This window comes from Homo sapiens, chromosome 19 (genome assembly GCF_000001405.40).
Source record: "Homo sapiens chromosome 19, GRCh38.p14 Primary Assembly".
NCBI lineage: Eukaryota > Metazoa > Chordata > Mammalia > Primates > Hominidae > Homo > Homo sapiens.
This window is the reverse complement of record NC_000019.10, coordinates 13,833,507-13,855,065: the sequence shown is the minus strand read 5'-3', so window position 1 is coordinate 13,855,065 and position 21,559 is coordinate 13,833,507. Positions and strand designations below refer to the sequence as shown.

General features: G+C 57.3%; 1 long non-coding RNA gene and 3 other non-coding genes across 4 annotated transcripts, besides 14 other annotated features; all 4 read left to right on the top strand.

Moving 5' to 3' along the window:
• Nucleotides 424-1,369: an enhancer, noted in NCBI's record as "H3K27ac-H3K4me1 hESC enhancer chr19:13964511-13965456 (GRCh37/hg19 assembly coordinates)". NCBI's record gives its function as "activates a minimal SCP1, AML or CMV promoter by ChIP-STARR-seq in primed H9 embryonic stem cells {active_cell/tissue: H9 hESC(primed)}" and the evidence as "EXISTENCE:reporter gene assay evidence [ECO:0000049][PMID:30033119]".
• Nucleotides 7,020-7,225: a silencer, noted in NCBI's record as "fragment chr19:13958655-13958860 (GRCh37/hg19 assembly coordinates)". NCBI's record gives its function as "represses an EF-1alpha promoter that drives an FKBP-Casp9 reporter gene in an ReSE screen in K562 erythroleukemia cells {active_cell/tissue: K562}" and the evidence as "EXISTENCE:reporter gene assay evidence [ECO:0000049][PMID:32094911]".
• Nucleotides 7,020-7,315: a biological region, named in NCBI's record as "ReSE screen-validated silencer GRCh37_chr19:13958655-13958860".
• Nucleotides 7,046-7,315: a silencer, noted in NCBI's record as "silent region_10215". NCBI's record gives its function as "represses an Ori minimal core promoter by ATAC-STARR-seq in GM12878 lymphoblastoid cells {active_cell/tissue: GM12878}" and the evidence as "EXISTENCE:reporter gene assay evidence [ECO:0000049][PMID:35858748]".
• Nucleotides 7,896-8,075: an enhancer, noted in NCBI's record as "active region_14144". NCBI's record gives its function as "activates an Ori minimal core promoter by ATAC-STARR-seq in GM12878 lymphoblastoid cells {active_cell/tissue: GM12878}" and the evidence as "EXISTENCE:reporter gene assay evidence [ECO:0000049][PMID:35858748]".
• Nucleotides 11,742-13,250: a transcriptional cis regulatory region, noted in NCBI's record as "candidate enhancer chr19.2258 targeted for multiplex CRISPR interference". NCBI's record gives its function as "positively regulates TRMT1 gene expression in K562 cells {active_cell/tissue: K562}" and the evidence as "EXISTENCE:mutant phenotype evidence [ECO:0000015][PMID:30612741]".
• Nucleotides 11,987-12,716: a silencer, noted in NCBI's record as "silent region_10214". NCBI's record gives its function as "represses an Ori minimal core promoter by ATAC-STARR-seq in GM12878 lymphoblastoid cells {active_cell/tissue: GM12878}" and the evidence as "EXISTENCE:reporter gene assay evidence [ECO:0000049][PMID:35858748]".
• On the top strand, nt 12,148-20,550 carry MIR23AHG (miR-23a/27a/24-2 cluster host gene). Its single transcript, NR_036515.2, has one exon. It is a non-coding gene; the product is annotated as a miR-23a/27a/24-2 cluster host gene (long non-coding RNA).
• Nucleotides 13,177-13,236: a silencer, noted in NCBI's record as "silent region_10213". NCBI's record gives its function as "represses an Ori minimal core promoter by ATAC-STARR-seq in GM12878 lymphoblastoid cells {active_cell/tissue: GM12878}" and the evidence as "EXISTENCE:reporter gene assay evidence [ECO:0000049][PMID:35858748]".
• Nucleotides 15,145-15,374: a silencer, noted in NCBI's record as "silent region_10212". NCBI's record gives its function as "represses an Ori minimal core promoter by ATAC-STARR-seq in GM12878 lymphoblastoid cells {active_cell/tissue: GM12878}" and the evidence as "EXISTENCE:reporter gene assay evidence [ECO:0000049][PMID:35858748]".
• Nucleotides 15,795-15,894: an enhancer, noted in NCBI's record as "active region_14143". NCBI's record gives its function as "activates an Ori minimal core promoter by ATAC-STARR-seq in GM12878 lymphoblastoid cells {active_cell/tissue: GM12878}" and the evidence as "EXISTENCE:reporter gene assay evidence [ECO:0000049][PMID:35858748]".
• Nucleotides 16,115-16,334: an enhancer, noted in NCBI's record as "active region_14142". NCBI's record gives its function as "activates an Ori minimal core promoter by ATAC-STARR-seq in GM12878 lymphoblastoid cells {active_cell/tissue: GM12878}" and the evidence as "EXISTENCE:reporter gene assay evidence [ECO:0000049][PMID:35858748]".
• Nucleotides 16,365-16,474: an enhancer, noted in NCBI's record as "active region_14141". NCBI's record gives its function as "activates an Ori minimal core promoter by ATAC-STARR-seq in GM12878 lymphoblastoid cells {active_cell/tissue: GM12878}" and the evidence as "EXISTENCE:reporter gene assay evidence [ECO:0000049][PMID:35858748]".
• On the top strand, nt 18,407-18,479 carry MIR23A (microRNA 23a). The gene has a single exon (NR_029495.1). It is a non-coding gene; the product is annotated as a microRNA 23a (primary transcript).
• MIR27A (microRNA 27a) lies at nt 18,549-18,626 on the top strand. The gene has a single exon (NR_029501.1). It is a non-coding gene; the product is annotated as a microRNA 27a (primary transcript).
• MIR24-2 (microRNA 24-2) lies at nt 18,707-18,779 on the top strand. Its single transcript, NR_029497.1, has one exon. It is a non-coding gene; the product is annotated as a microRNA 24-2 (primary transcript).
• Nucleotides 21,193-21,382: a silencer, noted in NCBI's record as "silent region_10211". NCBI's record gives its function as "represses an Ori minimal core promoter by ATAC-STARR-seq in GM12878 lymphoblastoid cells {active_cell/tissue: GM12878}" and the evidence as "EXISTENCE:reporter gene assay evidence [ECO:0000049][PMID:35858748]".
• Nucleotides 21,493-21,542: an enhancer, noted in NCBI's record as "active region_14140". NCBI's record gives its function as "activates an Ori minimal core promoter by ATAC-STARR-seq in GM12878 lymphoblastoid cells {active_cell/tissue: GM12878}" and the evidence as "EXISTENCE:reporter gene assay evidence [ECO:0000049][PMID:35858748]".

Here is a 21,559-nt window from a genome sequence, read left to right as displayed (position 1 = left end):
AGAACAGCCTGAGCAACATAGCAACGCCCTGTCTTTAAAAAAAAAAAAAAAAAAAAATGGCCAGGCGCGGTGGCTCACGCCTGTAATCTTGCGGATCACGAGGTCAGGAGATTGAGACCATCCTGGCTAACACGGTGAAACCCCGTCTCCACTAAAAATACAAAAAATTAGCCAGGCGTGGTAACGGGCGCCTGTAGTCCCAGCTACTCGGAAGGCTGAGGCAGGAGAATGGCGTGAACCCGGGAGGCGGAGCTTGCAGTGAGCAGAGATGGCGCCACTGCACTGCAGCCTGGGCGACAGAGGTAGACTCCGTCTCAAAAAAAAAAAAAAAAAAAAAAAAAAAATTAGCTGGGCGTGGTGGCGGGCGCCTGCAGTCTCAGCTATTCCAAAGGCTGAGGTGGGAGGATTGCTTGAGCCCGGGAGGCAGTGGTTGCAATGAGCCAGGATGCCGCCACTGCACTCCACTCTGGGCTACACAGTAAGATCCTGCCTCAGCGAAAAAAAAGGCCGGGCGTAGTGGCTCCTGCCTCTAATCCCAGAATTTTGGAAGGCTGATGCAGGCGGATTGCCTGAGCTCAGGAGTTGGAGACTAGGCTGGGCAACACGGTGAAACCTCATCTCTACTAAAATACAAAAAATTAGCTGGTGTGGACCAGGCACAGTGGCTCACGCCTGTAATCCCAGCACTTCCGGAGGCCAAGGCGGGCAGATTACTAGGTCAGGAGTTCGAGACCAGTCTGGCCAACATGGTGAAACCCTGTCTCTACTAAAAATACAAAAATTAGCTGGGCGTGGTGGTGCTCGCCTGTAATCCCAGCTACTTGGGAGGCTGAGGCAGGAGAATCGCTTGAACCTGGGAGGCGGAGGTTGCAGTGAGCCGAGATCACACCACTGCACTCCTGCCTGGGTGACAGAGTGAGACTCTGTCTCCAAAAAAAAAGGAATGTTCTAAAATTTATTGTGGTGATGGTTGCATAAGTCTATGAATATTCTAAACACATTTGACTGTATACAGTCGTCCCCCTTATCTGCAGTTTCGATTTCCTCGGTTTCAGTTATCCTTGGTCAACTTTGGTCCAAAAATATTAAATGGAAAATTCCAGAGGCTGGGCGAGGTGGCTCACGCCTTTAATCCCAGCATTTTGGGGGGCCGAGGCAGGCGGATCACCTGACGTCAGGAGTTCGAGACCAGCCTGGCCAACATGGTGAAACCCCGCCTCTACTAAAAATACAAAAATTAACCGGGCGTGGTGGCACGCGCCTGTAATCCCAGCTACTCGGGAGGCTGAGGCAGGTGAATGGCCTGAACACGGTAGGCAGAGGTTGCAATGAGCAGAGATCACACCACTGCACTCCAGCCTGGGTGACAGAGCGAGACTCGGTCTCAGAAAAAAAAAAAAGAAAGAAAATTCCAGAAATAAAACAAGTCATACCTTCACATTCCAGGCCGTTCTGAGTAGTGTGATGAAATCTCCCACAGTCCTGGGATGTGAATCATCCCTTTACCCAGCTTATCCATGCTGTCTGTATAGGCTACCAGTCTGTTAGTCCCTTTATAGCCATCTCAGTCAACAAATAGAAAAAGCAAAGTGGTCAGCCGAGGTGGCTCATGCCTGTAATACCAGCACTTTGGGAGACCAATGCAGGAGGAGGATTGGTTGAGACCAGGAATTCAAGACCAGCCTGGGAAACATAGTAAGACCCTGTCTCTAAAAAAAAATAAAATAAAATAAAATAAAATAAATGTGTATAAATAAGCTGGGTGTGCTTGCACATGCCTGTAGTCCTAGCTACTTGGGAGGCTGAGGCAGGAGGCTCACTTAAGGCCAGGAGTTGGAGACCAGTCTAGGCAACACAGCAAGACCCTCACGCCCCGACCCCCACAAGATAAATAAATTAGCCAGGTGTGGTGGTGCTCACCTGTAGTTCCAGCTACTCTGGAGGTTGAGGTAGAAGGATCCTTTGAGCCCCGGAGCTTGAGATGGCAGTGGTGAGACCTTGTCTTAAAAAATTTTGATCCTGGGCTGGGCGTGGTGGCTCACGCCTGTAATCCCAGCACTTTGGGAGGCCGAGGCAGGTGGATCACCAGGTCAGGAGATCGAGACCATCCTAGCTAACATGGCGAAACCCCGTCTCTACTTAAAAAATACAAAAAATTAGCCAGGCATGGTGGCACACGCCTGTAGTCTCAGCTACTTCAGAGGCTGAGGCAGGAGAATCGCTTTAACCTGGGAGGTGGAGGCTGCAGTGAGCCGAGATCGCGCCACTGCACTCCAGCCTGGGTGACAGAGACTCCATCTCAATAAATAAATAAATATTAAATAATAATAATTTTTTTTTATCTTAAAGCTGGGTGTGGACATATTTGCCTGTATTCCCAGCTACTCGGGAGGATCCCTTAAACCCAGGAGTTTGAGGCCAGCCAGGGCAACATGGAGACACCCCTATCTCTAAAAAATAAACAAACAGGTCAGGGCCCAGGGGCTCATGCCTGTAATCCCAGCACTTTAGGAGGCTAAGGTGGGCGGAACTCTTGAGGGCAGGAATTCGAGTCAGGAATTCCAGACCCGCCTGGGCAACACAGCATAACCCTGTCTCTACAAAAAAAAAAAAAAAAATACAAAAATTAGCTGGGTGTGGTCGCTCTCACCTGTGGTCCCAGCTACTTGGGAGGCTGAGGTGGGAGGCTCAGCTGAGTTCAGGAGGTCGAGGCTGCAGTAAGACGTGATTGTGCCACTGCACTCCAGCCTGGGCGACACAATGAGACCCTGTCTCAATACATAAATAAATACAAATTGGCCAGGCGCAGTAGCTCACGCCTTTAATCCCAGCACTTTGGGAGGCCAAGGCAGGCGGATCACCTGAGGTCAGGAGTTCGAGACTGCCCTGGCCAACATGGTGAAACCCCATCTCTACTAAAACTACAAAAATTAGTTGGGCATGGTGGCGTGTGCTCGTAGTCCCAGCTACTTGGGAGGCTGAAGCAGGAGAATCGCTTGAACCTGGGAGGCAGAGGTTGCAGTGAGCCGAGATTGTGCTACTGCACTCCAGCCTGGGTGACAGGGTGAGACTCAGTCTCAAAAAAAAAAGTAAATAAATATAAATAAATAAATAATAAAATTAAAAAAAAAAATCTCAATTCTTCCGCTAGTAGAGTGCCTCCCTGGAATCCCATCCAGCTTGCTGTCCTTCTCACTCCAAGTTTAAGAAGGATAGAAAGGTGGGGGAGACTGTTTCGGGGCAGGCAAGGAGGGGAGGCCTAGGCAGGAGGTGTGGTGAAACCCACCATATGTGCCCTCAAGCACCCTCTTTCTCTGCCAGAGGCCACAGGCTTGGAAGAACCATGTCTCTTCCCAGGTTTCCTTCTCAGCCTGACTCGAAGCGTCCTGGCCTGCCCGCCCCACCAGACAGTCTGACTCAATTTGCCCGCTGTGTGCGTGGGCCCTGCGCGTGTGACCCTCCACCATTCCAGTGACTCAGGCAGCCTGGAAGCCCCCTCCCCGGGGGACACCCAGCTTCCTATGGTGACTTTTCACAGACATGGCTGAAACTGGCTGGCGCCTCCCAGACCCAGGCCGGGCTCCTGGGGGCAGCCCAGCAGGGCCTCGGCCCCACAGCCCACCCCTAGAGAGGGCCTAGGGGGTGGGAGTAGGGGGTGGGGAACTCTTCTCAAAGGGCCTTTGTGGGAGCAGCTGGGGGGGCTAACGGGGGACCCCGCCCTGTGTGACTCAAGCCTCATTGCTGGGCGGTGACTCACCCCCAGGCCCCCCTTCTGCCTGCCCGCAGCAGGTGCTGTGAGCCAGCTTCGGGATAGGGGCCTCTGCAGCCATGGTCATGCCACCCTGCCCTGGACCTGTGACTTGCCACCCACTTCTAGGGGTTCCAGTCTTGCCCTCACCTCCTTGCCCTCCTGAGCTCGGACCACAGAGAAAACCTCCTACATCCCGTCCCTCCGTGGGGCAGCAGACATGGTACTGAAATGTGCCACGCATTGTCTCACTATGAATTCACGGGATTCTCAAACCACCCGAGAGGCAGGGTGTTTGTTCTTGCTACTGCCCTGTAACAGATGCGGAAATTGATTCTCCGTGAGGTTGCAGAGTTTAACACAGGAGATTCACGTGCAGAATCTGGGTGTCCCAAACTTGCTGCCCCGCAGTGTCACTGCGTGATCATCTCAGCTGCTTTAAATGCCAGTGGTGGGTTACTGCACCCTCCAGTGTCGCTTCTTTTACTGACGGGTAAACTGAGGCAAGGAGCCTTGAAGTCACAGATCAAGAGTCAAGAGTAAGAGGCAGGGCTGGGATTCGAACCGAGTCCGAGAGCCCGGGACCTGCTCCGCCGCTTCCCCACGGGCCTCCGGCGCCCACTTGGGGGCTAAGGCGCCCCCGCCGCCGGGCCCCTCCGGACGCCGAGGCCAGCCGAGATCGGGCCGCCGGCCAGGCTGCTGGGCGCCGCGCCCGTCCGCATCACGCCGCGGTGAGTCACCGCGCGCCGGCCCCGGCCCCGCCCCCCGCGCCAACAAACAGCGCGTTGCTCGGCAACCGCCACCGCCCTCCAGCGCGGACCTGGGTTCGAGCCTCAGGCCGGGGTGCGCGCTAAGAGGGATTTTGGGACTCCGTAGTCTTCCCTAGATTAGGGGTTCAGATCAGGCCTGTAATCCTGGTGGGCACGGAGGTGATGGTGAAGGAGACAGCTGTGGTCCAATGAAGGTGGGGAGGGCTGAGGGTGGCTCTCTCCAATCCAGACCCACCGGGGCTCCCCAGAAGTGGGCGGTCAGGTCAGGAGATGGCGGCTGGGCCAGAGTTGCAGCTGAGAGGTCGAGGCCATTTTCCTAAGGGATTTGGGGAGCTGGCCTGGCGGGAGCTGTCAGGAGCGCTGTGATGAGGGCTTTTTTGCATCCTCCCCACCCCTGCCGACCTCCCAAACTAGCTAACACTTAATGAGCACGTTCTATGTTCTAAGCCTGTTCTATGCATGTGTGGGCCTATGTGTATTAACTCATGTAATGTTCACCATGAAGTCGGGCGCGGCGGCTCACGCCTATAATCCCAGCACTTTAGGAAGCCGAAGCCCGTGGATCACTTGATGTCAGGAGTTCAAGACCAGCCTGGGCAAAATGGTGAAACCCCGTCTGTACTAAAAATACAAAAATTAGCCGAGCGTGATGGCCAGCACCTCTAATCCCAGCTACTTGGGAGACCGAGGCAGGAGAATCGCTTGAACCCGGGAGGCAGAGGTTGCAGTGGGCCAAGATCGTGCCACTGCACTCCAGCCTGGGTGACAAGAGTGAAACTCCGTCTCAAAAAATAATAATAATAAAAATTAAAAATAGTGTTCACCATGGCCCTCTGACGTTTCATTGACATTCTCATTTTACAGATGGGGAAACTGAGTCAACAGAGGGTCAATGTCCTTTGCCAGAGGATGCACAGCCAAGCTGGCATCCGGGCTCCCAAACCTGTCTCAGGAGGGTGCATGCCTGGCCTTGGCAGGGCCATATCTGTGGGAGTCTTCAGGCGTTGTGGGGATAGGTGCCAAGGCTACATTGAAGTGTGGGTAGGTTATGCAAGTGGGGGATGGCGCCTGGTGGGCTCCTTGGGGGCTGTCGACACATGATACTGAAGGCTGTGCACTACAGAGGTTGCACCAGCACCCCCCTAGACTTCCCATGCCATCTGAGTGCAGGGAGAGAGTTTCCCAGCACCAGCTTCAGATGGCCTGAACTCCGGGCTCCCTGGCACCCCAATAGTCACCACTGAGCCGCCCACAGGACCCTTAAGGGAGCTGCCTGAGGGGCCTTCCGGAGCCCCAGATCCTATGGGGCGGGGAGAAGAGTAGATACTAGCATCTCAGACACGGAGATGGACCAGCTGCCTGGGAAGTGACCAGCTTTGAGTCCTGTAAGAAATGTCCATTTGGCTCACATGACCAAGTCAATCACTCAAATGGTTGAGTTGGGGAGATGGCTGAGTTACAGGGATCCTGGACAGTCTAAAGCCAAGAAGGTGAGGAGGGCTTCTCGGAGGAGGTGATACCCTGGGAACTGAAGGATGCTCGGGAGTTGGCGAATAACAGGCAGGACCTTCCTGCGGGAGAGGTTGGGACACCAGGAACTTTTCCAAGTGGAAGGTAGAGGGGACACGTGATTGGATTTAACGGGCTGTCTCTGGAGAATGGCTAGAAGGCATAAGGAAAGTCGGAGAGGACCAGGGAGGTGGCTGTTGGAATATATTTAGGCCAGAGATGATGGTGACTTAAGGATACAGTTGGCAGATTTAACAAATAAAAAATACAGGACATCAGTTAAATTTGAATTTCAGATACAGAACAAGTAATTTTTTTTTAGTATAAAACTTTTTTTTTAGTATAGCGATGTCCCCAAAATTGCATGGGACATACTTATACTAAAAAAAGAGATCCGCTGTGTATCTGAAAAATTAAGTTTCACTGGGTGTCCTGTGTCTCATCTGGGAACTGTACTTGGTGGAGGGGGGTGGGTCTCAGGGGCCCCTGGGGAGGGGGAAACGATCATAGCTAACACTCAGGGAATAAATGCACTTTATTTTTCTTTTTTATGTGTTTTCATTTTACTTATTCACTTTTTCGTAGAGATGGGGGTCTCACTATGTTGCCTAGGCTGGTCTCAAACTCCTAAGTTCAAGCGATCCTCCTGCCACAGCCTCCCAAAGTTTTGGGATTATAGAGTGAGTTGACACTCCTAACCCAACAAATGCACTTTGAAGTGAGTACTGCTATCATGCCCATTTTACAGCTAGGTAAACTGAGGCCTGGAGCAGTTTTGCTCTTGTCGTGTGTGTGCGGGGGGGGGGCTTTTTTTTTTTTTTGGTAACTTGTTTATACTGTTAGGTTAGGAAGTGGGTGACCCTCGATTGGAACCCAGGCATGTTGGCTGCAGTCCCTCAACTCTCAGAACTTGAACCCCCTCCCCCACGGGATTGGTGGGGGTGGTTGGACACTATGGTTCCCTGGGTTCCTGGTGACCCAGCTAAGGGCCTTTCTCATGGGATGCGCTTCCCCAGTCCCCCAGCGCAGCCTAGGCTCTGTGGCACCCCTACTTGCCCCCCTCCTGCCAGGACAGCGAGGCACTGGGAGGGACGGGAGGCGGCCTCAGGGGGCCTCCTCTCCCGGCTGAGGCTCGGCCTCGCCCTCCTCCAGGCTGGGAGGATCCGCCGTCTGCGCCGCCGGCAGGGGGAGGGGGCGGGTTATTTTTACCTCCCTCCAGGCAGCCGGGGCGACAGGAAGTGAGCGCGCGGCCCGCCAGATGTGGGGAGCCAGGGAGCTGGGAACAGCCACAGCTGGACTGGCGGCCGGCCGGGAGCGGGGTTAGGGGGGAGGGTGTGTGGAGGGTGGATCCCCAGGCCTCCGGTCCCCTCTTTGTTCCCCGCCGCCCCAGCCTCCCCTCCAAAGACCCCTCGTCCCCATCCCCCGCTCATGTGGGTCGTGGCCTCGCTGTCCCTCATCTGGGCGCCAATCCCCTCGCTGGCTCGAGGGCTCTCAGATCCTGGGCAGGGAGGGGGACCCTGCCCCTCGCCCCAGGGACCCCCAGGTCCCAGCAGAGTCGGGGGTAAGAGGGGGAGACGGCCTCTCGCCGGCCCCGCCTGCCACCGCCATTGTTTACCCGTCGGCTGCCTCCTAGGAAACTTAACCCGCCCGCGGTAATTTTATTTGGGAACTTCGGCCAGTTGCCATAGCAACCCCCAGTGACGTCAGAGGGGCTGGGGCCCGAAATCCCCGGGAAAGTGGGGGGGATGGGATGGGGGGGAGACCCCCAGAAGGGCTCTCCTTAACCCTCTGCGTACCAGATCCCAGCCAGGCAGGGACAGCCAGATGTGACACTTCTTGGGTGCGCCCCCCCAGTTCTGGCCTGGGGCCAGGTCAGGGTGGCAGGCCAGGCCTTGATGTCATCGGGAGCTGGGTGGGTGGTGAGTCATTCCTGAGGTGGGGGCTGGGCCAGGCCTGGGGTCTATTCCTGTCTGACCTGCCCCACCAGTGCCCTTGAGCAATACTGGGACCCTTCCCCGGGGATTTCAGGCACCTGGCTGGGAGTCCCCACAGATCCCTGGGACCTCTCTGCCCTTCTGAACCATTATGTAGGTAGACAAAGTCTTTCCTGGTGCTCCAGACACCAGGCAATTGAGTTTGTCACGGTGAGCTGGGGCCACCGTGTAATGTCCTTCTCCGGATGTGGGGAGTGGCTGGTGCCCTGGTGAGGGGGCAGGGATGTGGTGGGATCCCGGCTCAGTCCATAACACAGCTGGTCGCCAGGGCAACAGGAGGCAGGGGCCCTGACTGGCATGGGGGTCACTGCCGCCAGCCGGGGGCTGGGCTGGGAGGAGCCACTCTAACCGCAGTGACGTGGGACTTCCTCGGCAGGGCCTGTTTGATGTCTCTGTGTGTGGCGTTGCCATGGGGCCCAGCAGGCAGCCCTGCATGTGAGCTGGGGTGACCTGTGGGCCGGCTGGGCCTGTCAGGGTCCCTTGATCCAGGTGTACCTGGTGTATCACTTACCCTCTTTCTACCTGCGATCAGCACATCACACGTCTCACCTCAAAGCCTGGTAACAACTGCAAATTGCGCATTTTCAGCCCCATTTTTCAGCCGACAAAACTGAGGCTTAGGAAGTGTAATCGCCTGGCCCCAAAGCCATCCCAAAGACATCCAGCTAGAAAGCTGGGGTGTAGGGCCTGGCGCTGTGGCTCACACCTGTCATCCCAGCACTTTGGGAGGCTGAGGCGGGCGGATCACTTGAAGTCAGGAGTTCAAGATCAGCCTGGCCAATATGGTGAAACCCTGTCTCTACTAAAAATAGAAAAATTAGCCGAGCATGGTGGTGCACGCCTGTAATCCCAGCTACTTGGGAGGCTGAGGCAGGAGAATCGCTTGAACTGGGGAGGCAGAGGTTTCAGTGAGCCAAGATTGTGACAATGCACTCCAGCCTGGGCGACAGAGTGAGACTCCTTCTCAAACAAAACAAAACAAAACAAATCTTTGTTCTTCTTCCATTCCACTCCTCTCTCTGCCTCCATGAAACCGGTCTGCTTTGCTGGTTTTCCAATGTTCCAGGCACCGTCCTACCGCAAAGCCTGTGCACTGGCCGTTCTCTACCTGGAACTCTCTTCCTCTCGATGTCTTCCTGGCTTTTCCCTCAGTGCCTAAAAGTCTTTGTTCAAAGTCACCTCCTCCTCAGGGAGGACTTTCCTGACCTAACCTCCACTCATTTCATCTCTCATCTCTCTTGCCTTTTTCTAGATTACCCATAGACTTTCCACCCAACACATTTTATATATATATATATATATATATATAATATAATTTAAAACAATATATATATAATTTTTAAACATATAGACACATAATTTTAAAATATATATAGATATATAATTTTTAAATATATAGATATGTAATTTTTAAAAATATATATAGATATATAATTTTTTTTTGAGACAGGGTTTCCCTGTGTCGCTCAGGCTGGAGTCCAGTGGAGCAATCTTGGCTCACTACAACCTCCGCCTCCTGGTTCAAATGATTCTCCTGCCTCAGCCTCCCGAGTAGCTGGGTACAGGCGTGCGCCACCATGCCCGGCTAATTGTTGTATTTTTAGTAGAGACGGGGTTTCACCATGTTGGCCAGGCTTGTCTCGAACTCCCGACCTCAAGTGATCAGGCTGCCTCAGCCTCCCAAAGTGCTGGGAAGACAGGCATGAGCCACCGCTCCTGGCCACATTATATATCTTTATACCTATCTATCTGCTTATCATGTTTGTTTCTCCCATAGATGCTGGTCCCAAAAGTACAGGGATTTTTTTTTCTGTTTTGTTCTCTTCTGTGTCCCCAAATGCCCGGAACAGAGCCTGACATACATACAGCAGGCACTCAATGTTTGTAGAATGAACAAAAGGGTGTGTGGTGTGTGTGTGTGTGTGTGTGTGTGTGTGTGTGTGTGCCATGCCATTTGACCACTTGACCTGGTCTCACCTTCGCCCTGTCCCTTCATCACTCCCTCACCTGCTGTCCCCTGGGTAAACCGGCAGGCTCAGGACCGGGGCCTGTGGAAGTAAATGTCAAGGGACCCAGAGGGAGAGGTGGGGGTTCTGGGAGGACCCTCCAAGCCTGGGCTGAGGGATACTAGTGAGCCGGGGTGTGGTCCAAGCCACAGGCAACAGAACAGCGAAAATTAGATAAAAAAAAAATCTGGGGGAAGAGGTATCCCCAGAGGCCAGCATGGAGGAGGTGTTCTCCCTGAATGTGAATTGGACTGATGACGGGACAGGCAATGTCTGGATGGAAGGCCTTATTATGGGGTGAAGGGAATTCTGGAGGGGCAATATGGATGGGGATGCGGTAGAGATCCGAGTTTTGTTTGTCATTGTAATTTGGTCACTTTCTACTTTTGCAATGACAAGTTTGTCTGTGTGCGTGTGTCCCTTACAGGGAGACCCCCACCCCCACCCCAGGCCCGCCCTGGAAATGCCATTCTTGTGTGTAGCTGCTCAGAAGGCCATGTGGTAAGTTGCTCCCACCTTCTGCGCCCCACCCTGAGTTGGGGAATTCTGTGCCACCCCAAATCTTCCCCTGGGGCCCCACTAGGCGGCTCTGCCCCCTCCTGCCCCAACCTGTCAGATCCTGCATCCTGGGCCAGCCTGCCCCTTGGGCCCCACAGGGAAGAAAAGGCCCTGGAGTCCCCAGGGCTGGGCCCCACGGGATGGTAGCTGGGTGTGGCTCCTAACTCCCTCTCCCCAGTTCCACCAGGTAGCAAGGTGAGAGCCAGCTGAGCTGATGAAATGGGGGACCCTGGAGGAATTCTGGGGTGCAAGGTGACACAGAAGCATCCAACTAGTCCCTCCAGTCCCTTGGAGGGCCTGGCCTGCTGCTGGGTACCCCCGCGCCCCCACCCCCAGAGTTACTCAAAAGGGGAGGCTGCTATCTTACCACCCAGGACGTGGATGAAGAATTGGATCCCTAGCCCCAAGGATGACACTTCAAAAATATTGGGGGCTGAGTGGAAAACATCATCCCCCAAAGCAATGCCCACCCAGGTCTGGGAAGGGTCCTGCGGGTTCCAGACCCCCACTGTGACACGATGGTGGTCGTGGGTGGTGGATAGGGGTCCATCGGCCTTTGTCGAGTCCTGGAGAGGGCAGATGGCAGCGGGACATGCCCAAGGAGACTGGCATGGTTGCAGAGGGCACCCCGCCCCTCGATCTCAGAGTTTTGTTCCTGGCCACCCACCTGGGCACTGGGCCAGGCCCCGAGGCAGGGCCTCCTCCTGAGGAACAATGCAGCCGCGTTCCTCCCGGTGGAGGCTGGAGGATGGAGCGGGAAAGACAGGCACACCGGGAAAGAGGGAGGGATCCAGGGAGGGCCTTGCTCCCAGAGCTACTCCGGGAGCCCGGGGAGTTTCCCAGAGGTCCCAGCGGGTGGGGGAGGGTGCCGGGAAGCCTAGGGGGAGGGGACCCAGACCCAGGGGCTGCATGGCCTGGGACCAGAAAGTCTTTTCTATGGCAGCAGGAGAGGGTTAGGTAGGATAAGAGGAGGAACTTCCTAAGGCTGGAGAAGGCGCTGTGGAACTGGAGCAAGTGGGGGTTCCTGTTTGGTGGCATCCCAGGGCAATACCCAGACCCAGGCCCCCCTCCCCGGGAGGGGTCTGCAGTGCCCAGTGTGCCCTGGGTCTGGGACCGAGCCCACCCGCCAAACCGCCCCTCACCAATCTCTATTCCCAGGGGCTCACGGCCTCCTGGGTTGCCTCTCCCTGGGCAGGCGCAGGCCTTAGACCAACAGGGGTTCCAGAGGTGGGATAGGGGGTTAGACCCTTTGCTCCCACCCTACCCCCGCAGACAGAGCCTTGGGCTTAAAACTCGGGACTGGGACTCAAGTTCAGGGTCCAGAGGGGGAAGTTGGGCTGGGTATGGGGCCCAGGCTGATTTCGGGACAAGGAGGGAGAAAGTTGGCCTTGAGTTGGGGGACGGGACAGAGTTGGGGGACAGGACAGAGAAACTGGGGGCGGGCCGGCTCGGGGGCACATGACGGCGACGCCTGCCCCGCCCCGCGCCCGCCCCCTGCCCGGCCCGGGGAGGGGGGGAGGAGACGGGAAGGTTTTAAAAGCGATTCGGCCCCGCGGCTGGCCGGCCAGTGAGTGGGGTGGAGCGCGGCCGGCGGCCGCCCCCGGCCGGTCTCGGGCCCGCAGCCCGCCCGCCTGAGCCTCGGCCGGCCCGGCCCGGGGCGGCGGCCGGAGCCCGGAGTGCGCGCCCGGCTCCCCTCCCCCCGCGGGTAAGTGGAAGTCAGGAGGGACCCAGGAGGGAGGCCGGGAGCGATCGGCGCCTCGGCGGCAGCGGCGCCGGCAACTTTTCCGCGCCTGGCTCGTGGGCGGAGTGGGGCTGCGCCCGGCGGGTCCCCAAGAGCGTTGCGAGAAGGCGAGGGCGCCGCCCCGCGCGCCTTGAGCGCCCCGCCGCCCGGGGTGGGTCGGGGATCGGGGACAGTGCGTCTGACGGTGGCGACGGCGGCCGCGGAGTCCCGGGGCGCCCCCTACGGAGCGGGGGAAGGGCGGCCCGGCCTCTGTTCCCTTCCCAGTGGCCCCTCCACCCCGACCCCCCAGGGGACGCATGGGAATGCGGTGGGGAGGGCGGGTCCCCGCGCGACTTGGGCAGGTCAAGGTGGGCAGAGAGTTGTCAGGGTGGGAGGGCTTGTGTCCGGCTCGGACATGGGGCTTGGGTTGAGGGGCTTGGATATGCATATGCCTACCCCACTCCTAGCCCCCCGACCTGGCCTTTGGACGGGAGGAATGGGTTGGGGGGGTCTCTCAGAGTTCTTTGGGTGGGGGCGGGGGTGGATACCGGTCCAAGTTCTTGACGTGTCGCCCGCTGGGTAGGGGGAAGGTCTCTTGTTGGGCAGGGGCTGGTGGGAGCTGGGGGGATGTCTCCTTTCCCTTCGGAGAAAAGCGCTCATTCAAGGTTGCATAGGAAGGAAAGCCAGGTTGGGGACCAGCCCTGTGCAGCTTGGGGTCCCCGTGCCTTTTGGCTGAAGGAGGAGGTTAAAAGGGCCCAGACTGAACCCCGACCCCTCTGTCTTAGCCCCAGACTGTTTTCTGATTTTAGCACTAGATTTGGCTGCCCCTAAAGCCCTTAGCCCTAACTGACCTTCCTGCCCAGCCCAGCCCAGCCCAGCCCAGCCAGGCCCCAGACCCAGTGGCTTCTTGAATGTTTTGGCTGTGCAGCTGGCTCCTTGTCACCTGCCCCCTTCCCAACCTTCCCCAGCTGGCAGCCTCTGACTCCTGGTCTATGAGGGTGAGGCTGGGGGCTGGGGGACCCCTGGCATAAGGGGTGTCCTCTGGCAGTCCTGCCCCAGCTGGAGGGCTGTACCCAACAGGTGCCCAGGCTTAGAGGCGAGGTGATGTTGGACACACCCTGTCCGCTCGCCCACATGCCCTGCCCGGGCCAGCCTGGGTACATGTGTTCACATGCCGATGTCCTGGGAAGGCACAGGCCCTGGGGCTGGTGCTAGCTTTGTTCTCTGATCCCGTGAGGCACCCATGGCCCTCTGCCCTTGCAGCACGTCCTCTGGGAGCTCCTTCAAGACCCCAACAGGCAGGCCTTGCCTGTGGATCTAGAGGGGGCCCTAAAATAGGTGCCGGCCTGGCCTGGGGCTGGCACGCGGAGCACATGCGTGACAGGGCGTGTCCAGAGGGTCGGGCCTGTCTGTGCTGGCCTGGCCACTGAGCCTCCGCCGACCCTTGCTCGCTGGAGAAAGACAGCAGAGGCGGATGCTTTAGGAGGGACCCCCGTGTCGTGCCCACCCTCTAACAATGCAAGTGGACGCCAGATGTTCCATGCAGACCGCAGCTGCGGGGCAGGCCCCCATCTATCTGCAATCCCAGGGTAATTAGCCCGGTGGGTACACTGGGGTGACCCGCTCGCCCGATCTAGGTGGTGCTTTGATACCTCTTAAAGCATTTTTTGGAGTTTGCCCTTCACCTTGGAAAGCTGGGTGGGGGATTCTGTCCTCCATGAATAACGGCGCCAGGAACCTTGGGCGATCTTGAGAAAACTCCTTCCTGTAACCTCTGTTTTCCACGTTGGATGTGTTTTAGGCCACAGTCAGGCCTGGCTTTTTTTTTTTTTTTTTTTTAAGACTTATTCCATGACCTTAAGCCCCAGTCTGAATCTCTGAGCCTTAATTATTCTATCTATAAATGGGAAGCATTTGGAAATGGGACGGAGAGAAGTGTACACTTTGCCCCTGGCCGCCTTCTTCCCTCCTGGTGTCCTGGGTGGACACGGAGGTGTGTCTGGGGAAGGTGTGTCCTTTAGGGCCGGTCGCCTGGGAAGGATGTTGAGCGGAGGGCAGTGGGTGTGGGTGAGAATCCCTGGGCAGAGAAGGGCGCCGCCATGCTGGGCACGGCTGAGTCACGCTCCAGCGACGCCTTGCCCCAGGGTGCTGGAGCTGGCGCCACCCTGGGTGTGGTCACTGAGCTGTGGCCCTGGGCAGAGCAGGGCTGGGTGGTCTAGGATGTGGGGCCTCGGTGCCTGGGGAACTGACTTCGAAGATGCCAAGCCCCCTGGCCTCCCGCCTGGCCTAGGTTCTGGGGTCACCCTCCAGGACTGTGGTGGCCCACACCCTGAGAATGCCTTGGAGAGCCTAGAGGCCCTGAGCCTTGGGCCTGGGAATCGGTGCGTTGAGGGAGGTGGATAGGGCGCAGACACCAGTGACTGCATTCAAGGCCAGGGGACCCCCACAGCCAGGCCCTCACTGCAAAATGTACCTATGTGGGGAGAAGGCAGGGGTGGACCTGATGACGGGGTGTACCACTCTACTAAGGGTTCCCAACATGAAGGTGAGGGGGCCCCTGGGAATTCTGTGATTGGTCTGGGAAAGATTAAAGTCTAAGTGGGGGTTAGAGTGTGGACTGGCGGGACGCAATGGGGGCTGGGATGTCACTTTCATGGTTCCCCTATTTATAACAAGTGATTCAGCCCTCACTTACTCACCCCTTCCTGAGCCTCCCCCCACCCCAGCCCTGGGTGGGCAGCGGGGCCCACCCACTTGTCAGTGCCCTGACTTTCCCTACCCAGTGCCACCCTCTGAGGGCTGCCCATCGGGGCGGTTGTTATTGTCGCTGCACTGGGATTGGGGCAGAGGGGCGGGGGGCTCCTGGTCAGGCGGCGCTTGGCCGGGCAGCCCAGGTTGGCGGCTGGCTCGAGGCCCAGCCCACGGAGCTTCTGCTGAGAGTCTGGGCCCATTAGGCAAAGCGTTAGTGACAGGCTGGGAGGGCGGGTGGCGCGGCGGGCAGGGCGGGGCCTGCAGCCCTTGGTATTTTCCGATCCCAGCTGCTCTGTGAGGGTGGAAAGTATTTGGGGACCAGGCTTGGGGGCGGAGGTGGTGGTGGCGCCCCCGGCGGAAGCTGCCCCTGATTCATTCTTGGAGCATGGGGTTGGGGGGGTAGCGGTACACATACATACCCTTGTGTGTCTGGTCCACGCACACGCTGTCTGGAGGGGGTATTCAGGCATACCCACATGCATTGGCTGGCCGGGGTGTCCTGATGCAGCCTGGGGCCTGCTTTGCTCCCCAGCCCAGGGGCCCGCCCTCTCCCTCATGCCTCCAGCTGCTAGGAGCTTGGTTTCCCCCTGGACACCATCTCCCAAGAGCCTGAGAAGTGCACCATGATTGGTAAAGGGGACCCTGTCTCCTGGGCACCTGCATGGCAGCACCCCTTCCACTCAAGACCCAGACCTTTTGTGCCTGCGGGGATGGGGAGTGGCCTTGGCCCCGGCCCTGGGCTCTGTGCAGGGGAAACCCCACAGGAAACGAGCCTGGCCAAATGGCCGCCCTTCCCGTTCTCGTCCCTGGGACACGAATGTGCTGTCTCACTTCCGGAGGCGGCCCAGGGAGGCTGGCCGCCCTGCGGGGCCTCGCCTGCTCCCAGTTGGCGCCTCCAGACCCTAAGGGGACAGGGCTGGGCTGGGGCCTGATGGGAAAGAGTGGCTGGTATGTGTGTATGTGTGTATAGGGAGGGGACAAAACAGGACATCACTCGCCGCCTGTCTCGAAGTGGTGAGCGCCACCACATCGGGCGGACACTGGGGTCCTGGTGTGAGACACCCACGTTTCCGTTATCCTTTGCCTTGGCAAAGACAGCAGCAGCTCTGTCGTGATCATGTTTATCACTCATGGGGTCCTCACCATGACTTATGAAGTCCATACTTATTATCCCTGTTTTGCAGATGGGGAAGCTGAGGCCCAGAGAGGTTGAGTGACTTGCCCAGAGTCACCCAGCTCAGAAGCTGCAGAGCTGGGGCTTTCAAATCTGGGCAGACTTGGGCTCCAAAACTGGAGTCTGCTAGCCAGGTGTTGGGCTCTTATCAAAAGAAGCTCCACTCACTAAAGACTTAGGGCTGGCTTCATGCATTTGTGAAACGGGCAGTCTCACGGCAGCCCTGCTTGGAGGGACCTGGAGGTTAGTTTAATGTTGCACTGCTGGGGTCATGAATTTTTTTTTATTATTATTAATTTTTTTGTCTTGTATTGCCCAGGCTGGTCTCGAACTCCTGGCCCCAAGCGATCTTCCTGTCTTGGCCTCCCGAAGTGCCGGGATTATAGGGATGAGCCACCGCGCTCAGCCTGAAATTATTTTCTTTTTTTAAACTTGTTTTTGTTTATTTTAGAGATAGGGTCTTGCTCTGTCACTTAGGCTGGAGTTCAGTGGCATGGTCATAGATCACGGCAGCCTCAAACTCCTGGGCTCAAGCAGTCCTCCCACCTCAGCCGCCTGAGTAGCTGGGGCTACAGATGTGTACCACCACTCCTGGCTGATTTTTTAGTGAATTTTTTGTGGGCCAGACACTGTGGCTCAGGCCTGTAAGCCCAGCACTTTGGGAGGCTGAGGCAGGCGGATTGCTTGAGCCCAGGAGTTGGAGACCAGTCTGGGCAACATGGCAAAACCCCATCTCTACAAAAATTAGGGCCAGGTGTGGTGGCTCACGCCTGTAATCCCAGCACTTTGGAAAGCCGAGGTGGGCGGATCACCTGAGGTCAGGAGGTCGAGACCAGCCTGGCCAACATGGTGAAACCCCGTCTCTACTAAAAATACAAAACTTAACTGGGCGTGGTGGCGGGCACCTGTAATCCCAGCTACTCGGGAGGCTGAAGCAGGAGAATTGCTTGAACTCTGGAGGTGGAGGTTGCAGTGAACCGAGATCACGCCATTGCACTCCAGCCTGGGCGACAGGGCGAGACTCTGTCTCAAAAAAAAAAAAAAAGAAAAGAAAAAGAAAAAATTAGCCGGGCATGGTGGTGCATAGCTGTAGTCCCAGCTACCCCGGAGGCTAAGGTGGGAGGATCACTTGAACCTGGGAGGCTGAGGCTGCAGTGAGCTGTGATTGCACCCCTGCACTCTAGCCGTGGCGACAGAGTGAGACCCTGTCTCAAAAAAGAAAAAATATTTTTTTTTTTTGTAGAGATGGGGTATTGTCGTATTGCGCAGGCTGGTCTTGAACTCCTGGCCTCAGGTGACTCTCCTGCCTCGGCCTCCCAAAGTGCTGGGATTACAGGCGTGAGCCGCCATGCTTGGCCTGAAATTCTTAGTTTTCGAACTAGAGGACCACGTGTTCATTTTGCACCGGGTCCTGAAAATCCTGTATCTTGCCCTGGTGCTGGGCACTTACTGAGTGACATACATACTCGGTGACATCTCACTGGGCTATGCAAAAGAGGCTCTTGGCTCCATTTTACAGATGGGGAAACTGAAGCTTTGGAGAGTCTTTGGGAAACTGTGGAGCAAGGATTTGAACCTTGGGCTGTTTGGGTGGAGAGGCCTGTATCTTGGAGCTTGGATCCTGTGCTCTGGGGGGCGGGGGGTGCGTGTCTAGAAAGAGAGGGGGGTGCCTTGCTGCCGGCATCCGCCCTGGTGGGTGTGGGCTAAGCCCTGGCCACTGAGGAGACCGGGCCACGGGGGGGGAGGCCCTGGTGGTTTCCTCCTGCCCTCCAGGCTTCTAGGAAGTGGCGCCAGCTGGGGTGAGATCACTTCCTCACCCGCCTGCCTGGCCCCCCTTGGCTTCCTCTCCCCATGGCCCCATTTGGCCTGCCCAGGGCTCAATGAGGGGGGAGCTTGGCCATGCAAGTTGCTGTAGCCTCCTTGTCCCGCATGGGCCCTCTAGGTATCTCTGCCTCTCCAGTCCTGGGGCTGGAACGGAGGGCACAGCTAGGCTCCAGCTCCCCGTGTGGTGGCTCCTGCATATGAGAAAAGAGCTTCCCTGTGATCAAAGGAAGCATCTGGGGACCTGGAGGGGAGGTGTCCCCAAATCTCATTACCTCCTTTGCTCTCTCTCTCTTTCTCCCCTCCAGGTGCCAGCCTCTGGCCCCGCCCGGTGCCCCCCTCACCCCTGTGCCACGGCCGGCTGGGGTTCCTGGGGATGGGATTTGCTTCCTGTCACAAATCACATTGCCAGGGATTTCCAACCGACCCTGAGCTCTGCCACCGAGGATGCTGCCCGGGGACGGGGTGGCAGAGAGGCCCCGAAGCCTGTGCCTGGCCTGAGGAGCAGGGCTTAGCTGCTTGTGAGCAGGGTCCACACCAAGTCGTGTTCACAGTGGCTAAGTTCCGCCCCCCAGGCCCTCACCTCCTCTGGCCTTGCCGCCTGTCCCCTGCTGCCGCCTGTCTGCCTGCCATCCTGCTGCCTGGCCTCCCTGGGCTCTGCCTCCCGTGCCTACTGAGCTGAAACACAGTTGGTTTGTGTACACTGGCTCAGTTCAGCAGGAACAGGGGTCAAGCCCCCTTGGAGCCTGCAGCCCCTGCCTTCCCTGGGTGGGCTGATGCTTGGAGCAGAGATGAGGACTCAGAATCAGACCTGTGTCTGGAGGAGGGATGTGGTGGGTGGGGTTGGCTGGGCCCAAATGTGTGCTGCAGGCCCTGATCCCCAACTCTGCAACTGGGGACCCCTGCATGGCCACAGCTCAGGCTGGGCTGTGGTGCCAGCATAGATAGGTGGGTGAGTGGGTGGCCCTTCCATTAAAAGGGAAGCCAGCTGTGTCCTTTCCGGGCCTGGAGGCTTGGCCCCTCCTCTCCCAAGCCTGGCAGGGGCACTGGCCCGGCCCGCACCTTCCTAGCAGCCAGTTACCCAAGAGGAAGCTGCCTTGGGCCTCCAGACCGTTAAATGCCAACTCCTGGCTTCCGGTATCAGGCTGGGTTGACCTGACCTGGCCCCTTCTTGCTGGGCCCTGCAGCTTTCTAACTTGCCGGGAGGAGCAGTGACACCCGCCCCACATGTGGGGCATGGAACAAGTTCCTTGTGGACCCAGAAGGGACACAAGCAGGTGTGCTTAGTCCTGAGGCGCTGGGAATAGCTGATCCTCCCTGCCTTGAGGGGGTTCTCAGGGCAGGGAAGAGTTAGGACTCTGTTTTTTTTTTTTTGTTTTTTTTTTTTTGAGATGGAGTCTCGCACTGTCACCCGGGCTGGAGTGCAATGGCTCGATCTCGGCTCACTGCAACCTCCACCTCCCCAGTTCACACGATTCTCCTGCCTCAGCCTCCCAAGTAGCTGGGATTACAGGTGCACACCACCGCACCTGGCTAATTTTTGTATTTTTAGTAGAGACCGAGTTTCGCCATGTTGGCCAGGCTGGTCTCGAACTCTTGACCTCAGGTGATCTGCCCGCCTCAGCCACCCAAAGTGTTGGGATTACAGGCATGAGCCACTGCGCCCGGCCAATTTTTTTTTATGTTTTGTAGAGACGGGGTTTCGCCATGTTACCCAGACTGGTCTTGAACTCCTGACCTCAAGCAATCTGCTCGTCTTAGCCTCCCAAAGTGCTGGGATTACAGCTGTGAGCCACCGTGCCTGGCCTTTTATTGTTTGTTTTTGAGACGGAGTCTCACTCTGTTGCCCAGGCTGAAGTGCAGTGGTGTGATCTTGGCTCACTGCAACCTCTGCCTCCTGGGTTCAAGCGATTCTCCTGCCTCAGCCTCCTGAGTAGCTGGGCTTACAGGCACCCACCACCATGCCCGGCTAATCTTTGTATTTTTAGTAGAGACGGGGTTTCACCATCTTGGCCAGGCTGGTGTGATCATGGCTCATTGCAACCTTGAATTCCTGGGCACAAGTGATCCTCCTGCCTTAGCCTCCCCAGTAGAGCTGGGACTACAGGTATGCGCCACCACACCTGGCTAATTTTTTTAATTTTAATTTTTGTAGAGATGGGGGGGCAGGTCTCACTATGTTGCCCAGGCTGTTCTCGAACTCCTGGCCACAAGCCATCCTCCCACCTTAGTCTCCCAATGCGCCGGAATTACAGGTGGCTCAGGTGTGAGCCACCGTGCCTGGCTTTTCTCCACTATCTTGAAATCAGATGGGAGGAGGCTTTTTTCTGGGTGGGACTGAGGAGGCACACTGAAGTCCCCCAGGTCATCGGGGCTGGGCCATTGCCTTTTTCCCCACCCTGGGTAGTCGTGGACAGAAGCTTGGGATGGGATGGAGAGGAGAGATCGTGCTGTGTGTCATGTCTGTTGTTCAAGTAAATAAAAGTTGCCCTGACTTCATTCCTGAAGGTCTGGTCTGTGATTCACTCCTGCCTCCCATCGCTGGAGTTTCAGCTTTTGATTGGCCTGAATTTACCATCCTGGCACTCCGGGCTCCTGCCTGCCCATCCCTGCCCCACCTGCTCTGTGCAGCAGGGTATCCTGTGCTTGGAAAGGTGACCTTGGGGGTGTCCTGGATCGTGGGGTGACCATGAGGGAAACCCTAGAGTGGAAAGATTTTCACATCGCTGATCAAGGGAGGATGGAAGCTGATCTGAAGTGGTGGTGGTGGGGTGACCCTGAGGGAAACGCTGAGCCTGAGGGGTGACATGTGGCGATAACCAGGATCTGAGGGTCTTGAGCTAGTGACATTTGGGGGCAACTTGGACCTACGGGATTACTCAGGCCTCAGGGGAAGATTTGGGGTGCCTGGTATCTGAGAATGCTGGAGGGGAACTTGGGTTTGAGGGATGTGACATGAAGGAAACCCCAGTTCTTAAGGGGGGACATTTGGATGTGGCTGGGACCTGCGTGACGCCCCAGGAACATGGGAACATTCGTGGGTGACACCTGAGGGGCACAGTAAAGGGTCCCCCAGGTCCGAAGGCGGCAGGGACCACAAGGGGTGCACTCCGGGCTCTCCACCCACCTCCACCGTCCCAGACCTCGAGGCGGCGCCACGGAGCGCGCGGGGCAGTCCCGGGTCCGCCCGCACATACCTGCTGGAATACGCGCGGCGGGGCAGGAGGTGGGGCCGTCTCCGATTGGCCCACTCGAGCGGAGGGGCGGTGCGAAAAGCCAATCCCCATGCACAGCGCCGCCAAAGTCCCGCCCCCGACTGCGGGCCCCGCCCTCTAGCGACGGGCCCTGCCGCTCCGGGAAGCCTCTGTCCTCTCCTGCCCCGGCTCTGGCAGTGACCCAGACACAGCATCTCCATTCATCCAAAAGGCAGGAAGGCCCCGAGGAAACTGCTTCTCGGGGAGCCAGGGACGTTTAGACAACCACGGGCTTTCTCGCCGTCCTTTGGATC